Source organism: Homo sapiens, chromosome 1 (assembly GCF_000001405.40).
Source record: "Homo sapiens chromosome 1, GRCh38.p14 Primary Assembly".
Lineage (NCBI taxonomy): Eukaryota > Metazoa > Chordata > Mammalia > Primates > Hominidae > Homo > Homo sapiens.
Window position 1 is genome coordinate 107,528,323 of NC_000001.11, and position 15,570 is coordinate 107,543,892.

A 15,570-nucleotide genomic window follows, 5' to 3' on the forward strand; every position below is an offset into this window, starting at 1 on the left:
TCCCTATTCTTCACACGGCTGGAAATGGCAAGCCAGCTGATGCTCCAGCAGTGTGAAAAATGCCTAGAGGATGGTGGAGCAACAAGTTGGAAGGACCATGGTCCCTGAATGACCTCATGGAGTAGGGCAGCCCCACCAGACTGCCTACCTTTAGACTATTATATGAGAGGAAAATGGACATCTATCTTTTCAAGTTACTGTACTGCAGATCTCTTTCTCACAGCAGCTTAGCTTTTACTGGAACAGACTTGCCTTCACATATTCTAATTCTTCAGGCTGCCCCATCCCTGTTCACTTGATGAGTTCCAATTTACATTGTTGTGAAGTACCACAATGCCCTCAGGACCAAGCGGAATGAATCCCCCTTTGCCTGTGCGCTCCATAGGACATTTACTTGATTGCATTGCCAGTGCCATACTGCTGTAATACGATTTTTGGCTTGCCGGATCCATGAGCAAGGTAAGCACCATTTTAAAATTTGTCTCTGAATCTCCAGGCCAAAGTCTAGCACATAGTAGGAGATCAGCATGTTTTCAAAGGTAAATAAATAAAAGCTTATCCCCTCACCTAGCTTAGCAGTAAGAAGCATCTGAAGAGTTAAGAAGTAGAACACAGAAAATTAGAAGAAAGAGATAAATGAAAGGGAAGAAACAGTGAGGCATAAGCCATGCCCTCTAGGTCTGCTGCAGCCTCAGCAGCACCCAGCTCTCTGTAGGAACTCAATAACCACAGATCGATTGAGCTCAACCTTTGCTTGTCATTACTGCTTCCTTCTGCCAGACCCCAAGGAAGCTTCTATAGAAAGTCGGTCCAGAGACTAAAAGAATAGTGAGGGGTGGTGTGTCAGATCAGCTGTTAATTAACAAATCATTCAAATCATGGAGTAAACAAATCTACATTAGAAGTATGCACAAGTTTCAGTGTATGGCTTTATTTTATATATTTTGGTTTATAAAATGTCTCATGATTATAGAATAGCTGTTAACTTAAAACCCACTTCTTTATTTCATCAGATTTTCAAACTGAAACTTTTAAAAGTGATTGATTCTCTGACTGATCCCATTTCTTTCCTATAGCCATGTCTATTCATGGTACTTTGGAAACACAGCACATGTTGCTTATGGAAACACACACTAAGATGAGAGCTAGGAAACTCAGTGGCCTTTAATTATTCAGGATTTAATCGTGCAAGCATGTACAATCAATATTTGTTGATCTTAATCTGATTACCTCCTAGTCGTGTTCAGCGTCTCCATCAACAGGATAACAATATGACACATTTCATAGACTTTCCCTAGGTTCTTCCAACAAGCTTATTGGAAGGATTTTAATCAGCTAATGAACTCGTCAATGGTATTTTCAGGAGCCAAGGCACCTTCCTGCACCTATATCCCATGACCATATTTGCCTGACATCTTGTGGCCACAAGGAGCATGACAGTCTATAAACCCAACATCTGTACACAGGGCAAGCAGCGTCTTTGAATGCTAATCCCTGCATCACAGTCAGAGCGAGTATAAAACTGCTTAAGAGATGTGTGACATGTAATTATTTCATCTAATTAAAATGGAAGCTAGGCTTTTCTTTTTATATTTATGAGGCAAGTTGGAACATGTGGGTCAATTCTTCTAAGGAAAGGAATGGGGTCTCTATCTGGGCTGAACATCTGGCTTGTTATCAACTACCTTGGCCACAGAACACTTTTCCTGTGAAAGGCCCACAAAAAACAGAATATGGCTCACTGGACTGAGAGAAGTAAGAGCATCTGTGGTCAGCTCCTCTGAGAGAGAGAGAGAGAGAGGATTTCGAGCTGGGATTGTTGGAACAAAGAACGCAGAATCCTCCGAGTAAAGAGACTGAAAAAAGGTTTCATCTTCAACACCACAATGGTATATTTTGCGTCTCATAAACTTGACTTTTTAGCACTAGAAACATTTTGTTTAAAGCCAAATTTAGGGTGGCATTATATAAATATAGAATAGAACAATAAAGGTGCTTTGATTGAAGCAGGGAGTCTGAGCGCCACTGGTTTAGCTTTTCTCTCCCACCCCCGCCACCACCCCAGACACATCCTCCAAACCCACACCTTTGAGGGCACAGTCTGACAACTGTTGAAAATATGGAAATTGTATTATATGTGAAATCAGAAGTCTTAGCTTTGTATCTCAACTCTACTCTTTAGTACCTGAGCATCATATAACAAGTCATTAACCTTTCTAAACCTCAGGGTTTTCATCTCTAAAGTAGGGAGAATAATATTTACTTCACAGGGTTATTGGGAACATTAAAAGAGGCAGTAAAATGAAGATGCTTTGTAATTGCTAGACAAATGATCACATTGCCATCATCAGACAGTCATAATGGGCAGTCACGCAACCAAGAGGAACGAGCTCCAGACAATGCCCTGCACTGTCTTCCTGCCAGGTTCTCATTCCTCCACGTTCCAGAGGCATTTACTGGAAGTCTTGATTCATGACTATGTCCCTGAGCAGCTTCGGATAGCAAAGACACAATGGAATACTCTGAACACAAGCATATAGGGCCTCTAAACACACATTGGTTCACCATTATTGCCTTGTTGACGAAGCATAGTTTTCCCGTTTCTCTTTTTCCCTGAATCTGTTACCCACCACCCCCCTTCGATTATTACCAAATCAGAAGATCTAGATTCGTGTATCTTTTTTTTATTATTTTTTTACCTGTTCTTTTTATTATTATTATACTTTAAGTTCTAGGGTACATGTGTACAACGTGCAGGTTTGATACATAGGTATACATGTGCCGTGTTGGTTTGCTGCACCCATCAACTCATCATTTACATTAGGTATTTCTCCTAATGCTATCCCTCCCCCAGAGAACATCGTGTACCTTAAAAGGTGTAGCTACTGAAGCCCAGAGAGGTTGTAACTTGTCTCTGAGCCTATAGCGAGTTTGTGACTAAGCTAGACTAGAATCCACTTCTCTTGTCACTCAAATGATCACCCAGCTGCCTGGGCTGCTTGTCTTATAAAGGATGCCAATCTATGTTAATGAAGGGTGGGAGGGGGCTAGTGTTGTACTGAAGAAATCCGATGGAGATAACCAGCAAGACGACTCCAGAATCACTCTTAGAAGCTGGATGACTGCAGGATAAAACAGCAGAGAAATTGAGCATTCACTTCCCTTGGGAATTGAATGAACGGGGAATAGAACATGTTCTGTCCACCAGGAAGAGGATCAGTTTATTTCTAGGTGTTTCTGAGAGATGAGTAATTGTGACTGGGCAGCAGTAGGATACCACCCCTTCAAGCCCATGACTCTGCGCATCCCCAGGCCCATGAGTGTGTGATACCAGATGAGAAGGAGAAGCAGGAGGCCTTGCCACCATGACAGCCAGCTGGGTGTTATCAGTGAGCTAGGACGCAAACTGTCAATCACAGAAGACATGGCTTATCCCACAGCACACCTTTCATACATGAGAATAAATTCTCAAGAAAAAGTGTATCATTTCCGATGGAGAACTTTTACACATAAACTGTCTGATGCGCTCTCCTGACCCAAAAAGAGGAAACGAATAGCACCCAATATCCTACCAAATCCTCCTTCAAGGCTGAAAATTATGTGGTTCTAATGTGCCATTAAAGGTAATTTAAAAGAAAATGGCTGTTTAATTTAGAGATCATTTCTGGCAAGGCTGAGACCTGTCTTCACCAGCATTTGAAGCTATTATATAAACCACCAAAATCAGAACTACAGGCAATCTTGTCTATTCATGGGCCAGGCATGTGTGCCTTTTTCTCTCATGCTCTTTAATATTTGCTATTTCTTTTATTTGAACCCAAAGGAGAAAAATCTCAGTTGCAGAAATAGAACATGAATTCAGTAGAGTGTTTTTTTTTCTTTTCTTTTTCTTTTTTTTTTTTTAAGAGAGAGACTTCAGAGGCAAGATGATAAATGGCTAATAAGAAACAGGGGTGCCTAGGGGCTTGCAAGGAGGGGGCTGACCATGCACGTGAGAATTCAGGATTCAGTGATAGGGAGCTGCTGTTTCAGCCCTCAAAGAAGAAGCTATCGATTCATTTTTAAGGCAAACAAGTTGGATCCTGGGGACTGCTGAAGGTGAAGCAGCAGCTTCTCTGAGCCTGCCACACTGGGTGACCTTTGCATGGGGCCACAGAAAGAACAATGGCAAGGCAACACTCCTAAATTAGTCATCGGTGCTGTTTGATTTGCTCCTGTGCCAGATGTTCCCTCATTGATCACTGCCTGGCCCATATGTCCTCTCTGAACAGGGGAGCGAGTGGAGCCAGCAGCCGCCACTTCAGAAGCAGCCACCAGAGCGGGCTAATGGAGTCCTTGGCAGGAGGTTGCCATCTGATTGGTTTGCCACTGTTTCTCTTAGAGATCAAGGGCATTATACAGGCAGCACACCTGCCCACTCTCAGGGCCAGGCTCCGGGCAGTCAGGCAGCCTCAATTCCTGAAAGGCCCTGGTGAGCTTCCCAGAACCCCTCAGCAGCGTCCCTGGCCCTCTCACTCTTTTCGTCCCTGTCACAAGAAGCCCCTGTGGCATTTGTTAAACAGCCATTGCCATGTTCAAAGTGAGGCTCAACTTGGCCTGCAGTTTTTCTGTTCTTATTGCTTCTGAGCGGAGGACTGGGGGGCACTCTGCCCTTCTCCGACTTAAGGGTGGAGAGGGATCACAATTTTAAGCCAGCAGGTAGAGGAAAGAGACTGGAGAGCTGCTCATCAGGGATGTTGGCTGGCTTGTCCTTTTATATCACTAAGAACTGCCATGTGGATATAAGAGGCAAGGACACCTTTCCCAGCTTCTCATGAGGCCTGTAAGAAACATCCCTTTTATCTGCCCTCATCATCCCATTCTTCGGGAAACCCTGCTTCCAGCCATTCTTGGGTACCTTGATCAGACTGGCCAATCAGAGAACCTCTCTATAATTTCTAAACCAATGCTGGGCAGAGAGTGAGCTCCGTTCCCGGGGAGGGAGTTATGGGGTGTGAGGCCCAGGATCCATCAGTATCTTGTGGGAGAAGTCAGAGTGCTCCAGCGAGGATAGGCAGACACTAGCAAGGATCCAGCATGGACCTGAGTCAGGGGCCCCTGAGGACCAACTGCAGCTCTACCTTCCTGTTTGGCTGCCAGATCCTTCCTTCAATTACATAGGATGCTCCCATATCCTTCCTGTAATTTACTATTTGTGCCAAGGCTGTTTTGAGTTTCTGTCACTTGCGTCTAAAAGAGTCTGGACAAATAAGTGGATCAAATAAAAGGGGAACAGGACAGTACCCTGAATCACCATGATTTTGAAACCCAACTCTCTGACTAACCAATCTGCCAAAAATAGATTCCTCAAATAATCTATTTGCCAGAAGAACTCATCACAAAACAGAATGTCCCCACGCTTTTTTTTAGCCATGTCTTTTCTGAGGCTACTTTAGCATTTTGCTCATTTAGCTATGATGTCTATCAGATTCTTCTAAATTGAATGTCAATTTCTTCTAGATTTCACTTCTTCAGTGCCTAGGGCGTCCTGAGCATAGAAGTTCTGTATCAATTGGATGAGTTTCTCTTTGATACCGTTTGCTCCCTCTCTGACTCGGGAAGTGTGCCCATTTTCTGCCTACTTCTCCACTTCATCAGCTCCTAACTTGTGCCTGTCTTTGCCCTTCACCTTGCTTGCCCTTGCCCACAAAATGGCTGTGACAAGCTGTTCTATGTCCAGTTAAAATCCGTATCTGACCAACTGTAGTAATTTTAGTAATATAGCAAGCCAGCTATTGTATGAATTGGATTTGAAAAAGTGTTTCCCAGTGATTTGACCAAGATGCCAAACACTACAACCAACCAATGAGTACGTTGAAAAATAAAATCCAAAGAGAATCTGCAAAATTTAGTTTTCATCTCCCTTGCCATTGAGTGGACTAGACCATTGACCCTAGTAGTGGGTCTCCCCTGACTGACTCCCAAGACAAATTCTACCCCTGATCTGAAGGGTCTATAGCTGTTGCTGTTGGAGGGCCAGGACTCCCTCTTGGACTGGGCCATGCTGAGCTGCTGTGGTGATCACCTCACTGCCCCACTGTACCTCCCCCTACACACTGTACTTCTCCTTAATATTGTGTTGCTCACCTGTATTAATTAACTTAATTAGTTATAATTCCCTGTTCACTACATCCATCTTCACTGGACTGTAAGTTCCTAAGAGCAGGAGTATCATTTCAGCCTGTGTCATCACTGAATCCCCAGTGCCTGGCACGGGGCTGGTTGCACAGTAGGTGCTCTTCAGCTTTTGTAGGAAATCTGGAGTTAGCCAACCCTGTTAGGTAAATGGCACCATTTGGGAACCATCCGATCTTTGGCCTCCTGCACTGACTCTGCTACTGCCTCACTTAAGCCTCCTGAGTTGACCAGGCCCTGTCAGCCACACCTTCTTTAGCAGCTTTATTCCTTCTGATGACCATGTGGCTGGAGGAGTCTGGTCTTACCTGCTGGACAAGCCCTGCCCAGCCTTCCACTTTCAATTATATGACCTCAATGCCTATTTCCTCCACCTCCCATGTCCTTGCCTGTGGGTAAACCATTGTCACTTCTGTGGGCTACCCAACAGAAGAAGATGAGTCACCTGACATCCAACATATGCCATGGCAGGAGAAGGGGACCCAGCAGGATGCTAAGTAAGAAAGAGCAGGCACCTTAGAAACCAGGCAGGGCAAGGGCAGTTGCGATTGGCCAGGTTGGGGTCAATTTCAGGTTCTACCATTTATTTGCCATGTGATGTATTATAAAGAAGAGTTAATGATAATTCCTGGTTTACAGCACGCTAACTGTGAGCACAACAAGCCACTCAATAAAATACAAAATTGGGGTGAATTATAAAGGAGTGGCTCGGCCAGGCCAGGCCAGTTAGGATGACAGTTGTGTCTAACAGGAACTGGAAAGCTGCCAATAGTCCACGTCTGTCTCTCTCCTTCTGTGCCGTTTCTGCTTCTGTCTTTCACATTCACTTTCTCCCCCTGCGCACTGGCTTTCTCTGCACTATTAATGGCAAGCACTTGTTAGTGTGGCCACCTAAAATGGCAAACCAGTCTTCTGAGACCACACAACCTTCTAACTTTTTTCCCTGAAATTAAGAGGCTCAGTCGCTGCTTCCCATTCCAAAGCTTCAGGAGAGTTTCTTATTGGTCCTATTTAAATAATAAGATTTACATGGAAAATAAAGCTGTCAAGTCCAGGCTTTGGATATGTGTATGCGGGGAAGAGAAAAGAGGGAAGTAAAATAGATTTCAGTAAGGAGTGGGGTGCTAGGGAATTAATAGGGACCACTACTCCCCTTCTTCACAGTTGTTGTTATGAAAATATAGACAGTGGCCAATGGAAAATGCCTGGTTCAGAGCAGATGCTCACTAGTTCCCTCTCTTCCTCTGCCACTACTTGGTCACACTTATCAGCTAGCTAAGGAGAACTCACAATTACAGTTTCTGCCCGAAGTCACCCCTTGGCCCCTAGGACTCCCTACCCTTCTCTCGCTTTTTGCAAAAACAAAAACAAAAACAAAACAAACAAAAAACAACAACATAAAAACATCTGGCTGGACACAGAAGTGCTCCCTACAGCTTTCCCCCTGACCTGGTGAAAGTGGGCCCCCTGATTTCCCCCACTATGCAGCACCCCACAGCAAGCCCACCTCCTGAGCAGAAGCCCAGAGGGTGCCTCTGAGTTCAGCACAGCTGCTGCAACCTGCCTTATCTGACATTTGCCTCCTGAATTTAGGGTGCCCAATTTAGCAAATAAAAATACAAAACACCCAGTTAAGTTTTATATAAACAACAAGTAATTGTTTAGTGTATGTTTCAAATATTCATTGCTTGCCTGAAATTTAAATTTAACCATGTTTTCTGTATTTTGTCTGGTACCTAGTCCTGACCAGGTCTTTGCTTGTTTGTTGTCAGATGTGACTATCTAACTACACTCCCACTTTGGACATACACTCATATTTGCACTCCAAACACAAGCAGGCCCATGGTGAATGCTCAATAAACTTAATGCTCTTCCCACCCTTACCTGTCTGCTTCACTTGAAAGTCTCTAACCACAGTCCTGTTCTTACTTGTCTGACCAACTTCTAGCCTCAGTTTTATATGCCTGATAATTTACACTGGGCACCAGCCCAGCCCAACCCCATAACAAACCACGCCATTGGCTCCATACCAGCTGTTTCTGTTGCCAGAATGGGTGCCGGTTTTGCTTATGCACTAAAACATAAAGATAATAACTTAGCCCTTTCCATTTCATGTCCTCGTTTTCATTTCCCTCTAAAAGAGTGATCATCCAGCAAGCAAAGAATCACTTAATGACTTGTACTATTTCATTTCTTCCTCTTTTGCACTATTTCATTTTTGGTGTTATATTCCAGAAAACCTCTTTGGCCCTCACTTCCTGTCTCTGTTGAACTCTTTGTATTGCTTTCTTAAGGTGTTTTTGTTGTGCTGTCTGGCTTGTTTCCCTGGAACTACATTTCAGAGTGCCTCACTGAGGCAAGAATGAGGGAGGCAGACTGCATTAGAAATTCTCAAGTTTGAGAATTGATGAAGGTCTTGGATCATATCCCTGAATAATGCCAAGGTCTTGGAGTATATTCCAAACTATTTCATTTCACCTTATGACTCAGATATCAGAAGTTATATATTTATATCTGAGACTAAAAAAGAGTGACAGTTTAAATTGTCAAAGACCCCTAAAACACAAAGCAGGCCCCAGACCCAAGAACATCATGATTCTGAAGAGAAAAGTGTGAGAAAAGATCAGAAAACTCTTAAGTCAGTGAGGCCTGGCAGATGTAGGAAAGAAAGAAACACCTGCTCAGGCTACCATGGAAGACAAAACAGAACATCTCTCAAATTAGAGAAATAATAAAAAGTATTTGTCATCACAAATAAAATGTTTAGCGATTGAATGAATTTTTGCATCAAGCTCATTTTGGTGGTGGTTACGAATACAAACATCAGAAGTCTTTTTCAGGGAGCCCAAGAGAGAGCAGATGTTAGTTAGAATAAAATTGGAGCAAGGCAGACTAAATTTTGTTTTGTCCTGGTGTTGCATGTATTAGTTCATCACATCCCCTTAGTCAGCACTGCAACCTGTGCAGAAATTAATCTATGCAAATAGCTTGGTCCATAGAAGTCATTCTCAAAGTGTAGTCCTGGGCCAAAAGCATCAGCATCATCCAGCAACTTATTGGAAATACAACTGCTTGGACCTCACCCCAGACCTACTGAATCAGAGAGGCTGGCGTTGGAGCTCAGCAAGCTACACGTTAAGCCCCCAGGTGATTCTGATGTGTTTCAGCCCACAACTGGGATGTCACTCACATGCTTCTTGTGGATCACCCTAAAACACATCCAAAACCCAAGATAAATGGCCGTTCTTGTCAAAGCATTGTTTAAAAATATATCAGGACTCTAGTTTGGCCCTTTCCCTTGCTTGACATCCAAGCCCTGGTGTTAATTCCAGACCCAGAGAGTCACATGATTATTCCCCGCCACAAACCTCTTCAATAACACAAGCATTGTTTTGTTGCTCTTTACCCTCATCTAGTATCCTGAAAGAGGGGGAGCCAGGCAGACAGAGAAAGATGGAGAGACTGTCACAACCTGGCTCTGCTGCTTCTCCTGGGGCTGAAGGGGAAATAAGTCCTAACTGTCACTGGCTAGATGCTCTCCTCCCAGGTGAGGGCTTCTAAAATGAGAAAGGAAACATTCAAAAAAATTTCTCAGAGAAAAGCAAACACTTTTTTTTTTGAGACGGAGTTTCACTTTTGTCGTCCAGGATGGAGTGCAATGGCGTGATCTCGGCCCATCACAACACCTGCCACAATGCCCAGCTAATTTTTGTATTTTTAGTAGAGATGGGGCTTCGCTATATTGGCCAGGCTGGTCTCGAACCCCTGACCTCAGGTGATCTGCCCACCTCAGCCTCCCAAAGTGCTGGGATTACAGGCGTGAGCCTCTGCACCTGGCCTAATTTCTATGTTTTGAAAAATGTTCCATGGCTAGATAAGATGTTAACATTAGGGAAAGCTGAAGGAAGAGTATATGGGATCTCTCTTATTATCTTTGCAACCCTTCTGTAAATCTCAAATGTTTCAAAATAAAGATAAAAATATTATAAAGCATTTTTGGAGCATTCAAAAGCACTTAGTCATTCCTTTGCCAACTGTGAATCATATACCCAAGCAACTGTTCTATGATGGTATTGCATTCGATTCTAGAAGACGCAAAAGTTCTCAAAGCTTCAAATATTCATTTCGACCATCTCTCAAGGGACTATCACATCCTAGGAAGACAGATGGAATCGCTCCCTGCTTGGGTAAGAGAGCAGCTGGAACAGGAATTCTGTCTGCAGCAATACCCTGCCTGGCTCCATTGTTGAGCTCCCTCTCACATGACTATCCCACTGTGGCATTCATCACACCTTTCTTGTTGGCTGCCCCAGAGAAGAAAAGGAGCGTCTGAATATTCAGCCATTTTATCTCTTTCAAGAGAACCCACTCATCCAATCTGCTTAATTCTCCATTTGTCACAAACACACAACGAGGACATTTAAAATCCATTTTTGCTTGGTTTTATTTTTTCCTCCCAGAATGAAAAAGAGCTCTTTTACCTCTGAGGGTTTATGTTCCATTATTTCATTGGCATTGATTTCTTTGCCACGTAGCCCAGCTTATTTCAAAAGTGTGAAATCTGTCCTTGCTATACATTGCCATTGGAGTTCATTTTCTATACTAGTTCTCAGGCATTGCTTTTTTTGGAAAAACAAAGAATCCTGACTGTACAGTGATCTTGCTCACAAACTATTTCAGGATGACACCTGACCCAGGAGTTTTGCATTCTGGCTCAGCTGTTCCTGGTACTGTTTATTATACAAGATTTCCCAGTGAGCAAAGACTCTTGTGCCCCCTGTGGATCACAAACAGCATATAATTGGATAGACAAGAAGGGTAACAATGGCCATCCGGTATCTACCGAGCCCCTCTCCTTTGGAAATCGTTGGCATTTCATCTTCATGATCATTTGCAAATATTCAATGAGGGGCCCTTTGATGAAGGAGATGATGAAAACATTAAACAAAATGAAGAAGAACCTGTCTCAGACATCTGATCATTAATTCTTACTAGAGTCCTAAGGCAAATCAGAAATAGAGAAACAGATCAATCCTGTGTTCAGTCACCCGAGACTGGAAAGCAATTGGAAGGAAAGAAGATCTGAGGCTAACAGACTGAGTCCATGGGAGCCTAGTGGAGACTCACATGTACTCCAAGGTGCACTGACTTTTTTCTGGTGGAGAAATGAGGACATGCCCAGAAATGAGACTCTTGTGCAATTGTGGGCTGATGTGGGAGACATGATCTTGGTTGACAAAGTACCTCGAGCCATACACAATTATTGAACTCCATGTCTCCAACTGGCAAGACAGTGCCTAAGATTATCTAAGCTGGAAACTTGCTTGCTTTAAAAACAAAAACAAAAGAACAGAATCATATTTATCATGGTTGTTTAGCATATTTACTCTACAAACAACATTTTAATACATCAAAAAGTATCACCATAATTCCAACATTTAGCAAGTCAACTCTTCTAGTTTATTCAAGTGCCCTTTTATGAATTGCCCATTTGTAATCATTTTTAGAAAATTATAATCAGAGCATAGATTTCTGAATTTTGCTGTTTAGCTTTAAACCACAAACACTTTTTCTAAACCACTATAAAATATCCAAAATTATGGTTTTTAGCCTCTGTACAATATTCTGTTTTGTTGTTATACTACAATTTATTTAACTATAATTTATTTAACTACCGTTGGCCATGGACATGTTTTCTAAATTTTTGGTATTATAAACTATAACTCAATGTATCTGACTTTTTTCTTTCCCTGGATAATTTACTTGGGATAATTTCTCAAAGATTGAATTGAGAGGTTCAAGGATAGGTTCATTTTTTACAACTTATAAGTAATTTTTCATGGGCATTATTTACGTGTTTCTTTGTTTAAGTAAGTAGAGAGAACTGAAGATAAAGGGGTACTATATATGCACCCTTGTTTCTGTTGACCACCGGAGCTATATATCAAATCATTTACTGGACATTTCTGCTTGGATGTTGCATAGGTATTCTAAATGAAACATTCCTACAACTAAACTTGTCATATTTCTATCAGCTCCCCAAATCTGCCTTTACTCCACGGTCCCTTGGCTCAGTGAAGTGTCACCATCCATCCCATCACTTGAGCCAGAAGCCTGAGAATCACCCTAATTGCGTCTTTGCCCTCACCTTTCCCTTCATCTGATCAAGCATTGTGCTGTGAGTTCTATCTTCTAGGCATCTGTTGAACCTGACCATTTCTCTAAAGATTCACAGCCCCTATTCTAGTCTAAGGCACCGTCATCATCACTGTTACCCACTGCCTAGCCACCTCCCTGGACCCTGTGCCTCTGGTCTTAACACACAGAGAGATCTCTCTAAAGCGTTGCATTCTGGGCTTAAAACGCTTTGTTCTCTCATTCCCCTTTGCATAATGTTAATGTTTTCATCATGGTTTACAGGGTTATTCAGGATCTAATCCTTTTGAACTTCTCAAGTTTCATCCCATGCCTCTCCCCCTTGTTTTCTCTACACAAGCCATCCCGGTCTTATTTCAGTCCCTGAAATCTCCCCTGGGGGCTCTTGCCCTGGGGCTTACACTTATGGCTTTCCCTCGATTACCCCAGTCCACCGCCCATTCAGTTATCTGAATCCCACCCACCCTTTGTGTTCCATCTTAAATGTGTTTTCCTCAGAAAGAATCGATCACTACCACCACCACGGCCTGTCATAGTCCCCGTAATATGCTCTCAAAACACTCTGTGCTTCCCCTCTGGTAACATTTATCTCCCCCATTTATTTATTAAATGTCTGTCTTCTCCACCAGATTGTAAGCTTCATGAAGGCAAGAAGGTTTGTATTGTTTAAGACTATATTTTCAATGTCCAACATGCATTTGAGACACTATAGTTTCTCTATACATATTTGTTAAATGCATGAATAAATAATGAATGAAATAACATATTCTCAGACCCTATTTAAGATGGTTTCCATAATATTAAACAATATTCCAAAAATCCTGCTTTCAAAGACCTTGCTTATGATTCACATCTCCACGTTTTATACCAAACTCACACTAAACAGCAAGGAGACTATTTTAACAATTGACTTCCTTTTCCCACATGCACAGATTATTAATACAACAGCAGGCCGGTGACTAAAGGTAAGACTAATCCTACATATTTTCTTCTCTTCCCTGCCTCTCAGACTTGTCCTTTTGGAGAGGAGTGATAAAGCAGATGGATTTAGTTTTTATGTCAGTCATCATCAGCTGAGTAGAGGTTTTTGTGTGAAAGAAAAAGCTAGTATTAAATTGATTGATGGTTTATTTTTCCTATTTGCTGTTTGGTCATTGGAGTGACACCAGGAGGGCTGTCTAGTTAGAGGTGTGTGAGACAATAGCTATAACAAAGGCTATTCCAGACACAGAATTCATTGCTCATAAATGATCCCTGGAAATGAGCATATTGACACATAGTCACCAATAAACTCGCATGCAGAACTGTTCGGAAAAATTTATCTTGCACTTATTCAAAGGGCCATAAGGAATTAAAATTAGCATACAATCTTGAGAGGAATATTTGTAATAGATTTTCTCTTTTTTACAAATAGGAGATGACAAATAATTCATACATATATTAATAATTCCACCTTTGAGTTTTCTTCACTTCTGTTCATATAACCAGGTCCTGGAGGATACACAAATATGTGATTTCCACGTGCTGCTGTGGTTGCACGTGGCACGGGTGTTATGCCCTAGCAGACCTCATGTCTAGATACTATTGCTGTTATCATTCCTCTTATTAAAACATCCAAGGTTTTGCCCTAGAAGATGAAGCTCCAGGCAGGAAGAAATAGTTTACCAAGTGGATCCAATATTGTCTGACAGAGTTTTACCTTCCCCCTGGGACTTGCTCATATCAAATTCCTCTGCCACCAGACTGCCCCCAGAAATGGCTGCAACTCCTTGAATGCTCTGGCACAGGTGGGGACAAAACCTCTCTCCCTATTTATCTTTGGCACAGCTTAGCCTGGCTAGGCCTGTCAAAAAAAATTAAGGTACAAAAGGTGCACAAAAGCAGGATAAACCGAGAAAGTAAGAATCTTAAAACAGCCTACCTACAAAGAACACATTTCTGACCCTTCCCTAGCTACCTTGCTCTGGAAGCTCAAGGGCCCTTCCCTTCCTACAGTTTCTCTCCTGAGGATGTTATACTTTAACCTGAAAAGGGGGCAAAGCACCCTACTTCCTTGCTTCTCAGCAGAGGTGTCAGTAGCTACAAAGGAGCCTCCATCCAAAGTCTGAGTGAGTTCTCCCTTTGTTCCTCCCCTGCAGACAATATCAAAAGTGTCTCATCTTTCTCCTCCCAGTAGGAAAAGTGAGTATATGAATAAGAGCGACCATTTGTTGGATTCTTTTTCTAGGCCCAGCATTGTGATAATAGAAGGTTTCTCGGGGAACAGGTGTAGATGGAGAGATAATAGGGGAGAGGTTATTTTATGGTTCAGAGGAAAGAGCAAGTTCACAAGAAATATAACATGGATTTCATGGGAATCATTAGGAAGCAGGTCTTTTGTTTCTCTTGCTCTCCCCCTTTTCCTTTCGGTATTGCTAACGGGAGTGGAAACAGACACCAAATGTGGAATTTAGCTCATGCCTTACCTACTGGCCTGCTTATTGGAAACACACTCCAGACCAGTGCTGCCCAGTAGAAACTATCTCCAATGATGAAAATAGTTTCTGTCTAATAGCACTGCCCAATATGGTAGCCACTAACCACACGTGACCGCTGAGTACTTCAAATGAAATGTGTGACTAAGTAAGTGCATTTTAAAATTTTATTTAATTTTAATTAATGTAAAGTTAAATAGATACACATGGCTCATGGTTATGGCAGTGAACAAAATAGCTCAGGAGGGCTGGGTGTGGTGGCTCACGCCCGTAGTCTCAGCACTTTGGGAGGGCGGGGCAGGCGGATCATTTGAGATGAGGAGTTCGAGACCAGCCTGGCAAACATGGCGAAACCTTGTCTTTACTAAAAACACAAAAATTAGCTGGGTTTGTTGGCGGGCACCTGTAATTCCAGCTACTCAGGAAGCTGAGTTACTGGGGAGGCTGAGGCAGGAGAACTGCTTGAACCAGGGAGGCAGAAGTTGCAGTGAGCCAAGATCATGTCACTGCACTCCAGCCTGGGCGAGGGAGGAGACTCTGTTTCAAAAAATAAAAGAAAGGCCGGGCACAGTGGCTCACACCTGCAATCCCAGCACTTTGGGAGGCCGAGGTGGGCGGATCACGAGGTCAGGAGTTCGAGACCAGCCTGGCCAATATGGTGAAACTTCGTCTCTACTAAAAATACAAAAATTAGCCAGGCGTGGTGGCGCACGCCTGTAGTCCCAGCTACTTGGGAGGCTGAGGCAGGAGAATTGCTTTAACCTGG

The 15,570-nt window shown here is 42.8% G+C and overlaps 1 annotated feature.

Annotated features, from left to right (window-relative positions):
- Nucleotides 6,905–6,954: a silencer, noted in NCBI's record as "silent region_1132". NCBI's record gives its function as "represses an Ori minimal core promoter by ATAC-STARR-seq in GM12878 lymphoblastoid cells {active_cell/tissue: GM12878}" and the evidence as "EXISTENCE:reporter gene assay evidence [ECO:0000049][PMID:35858748]".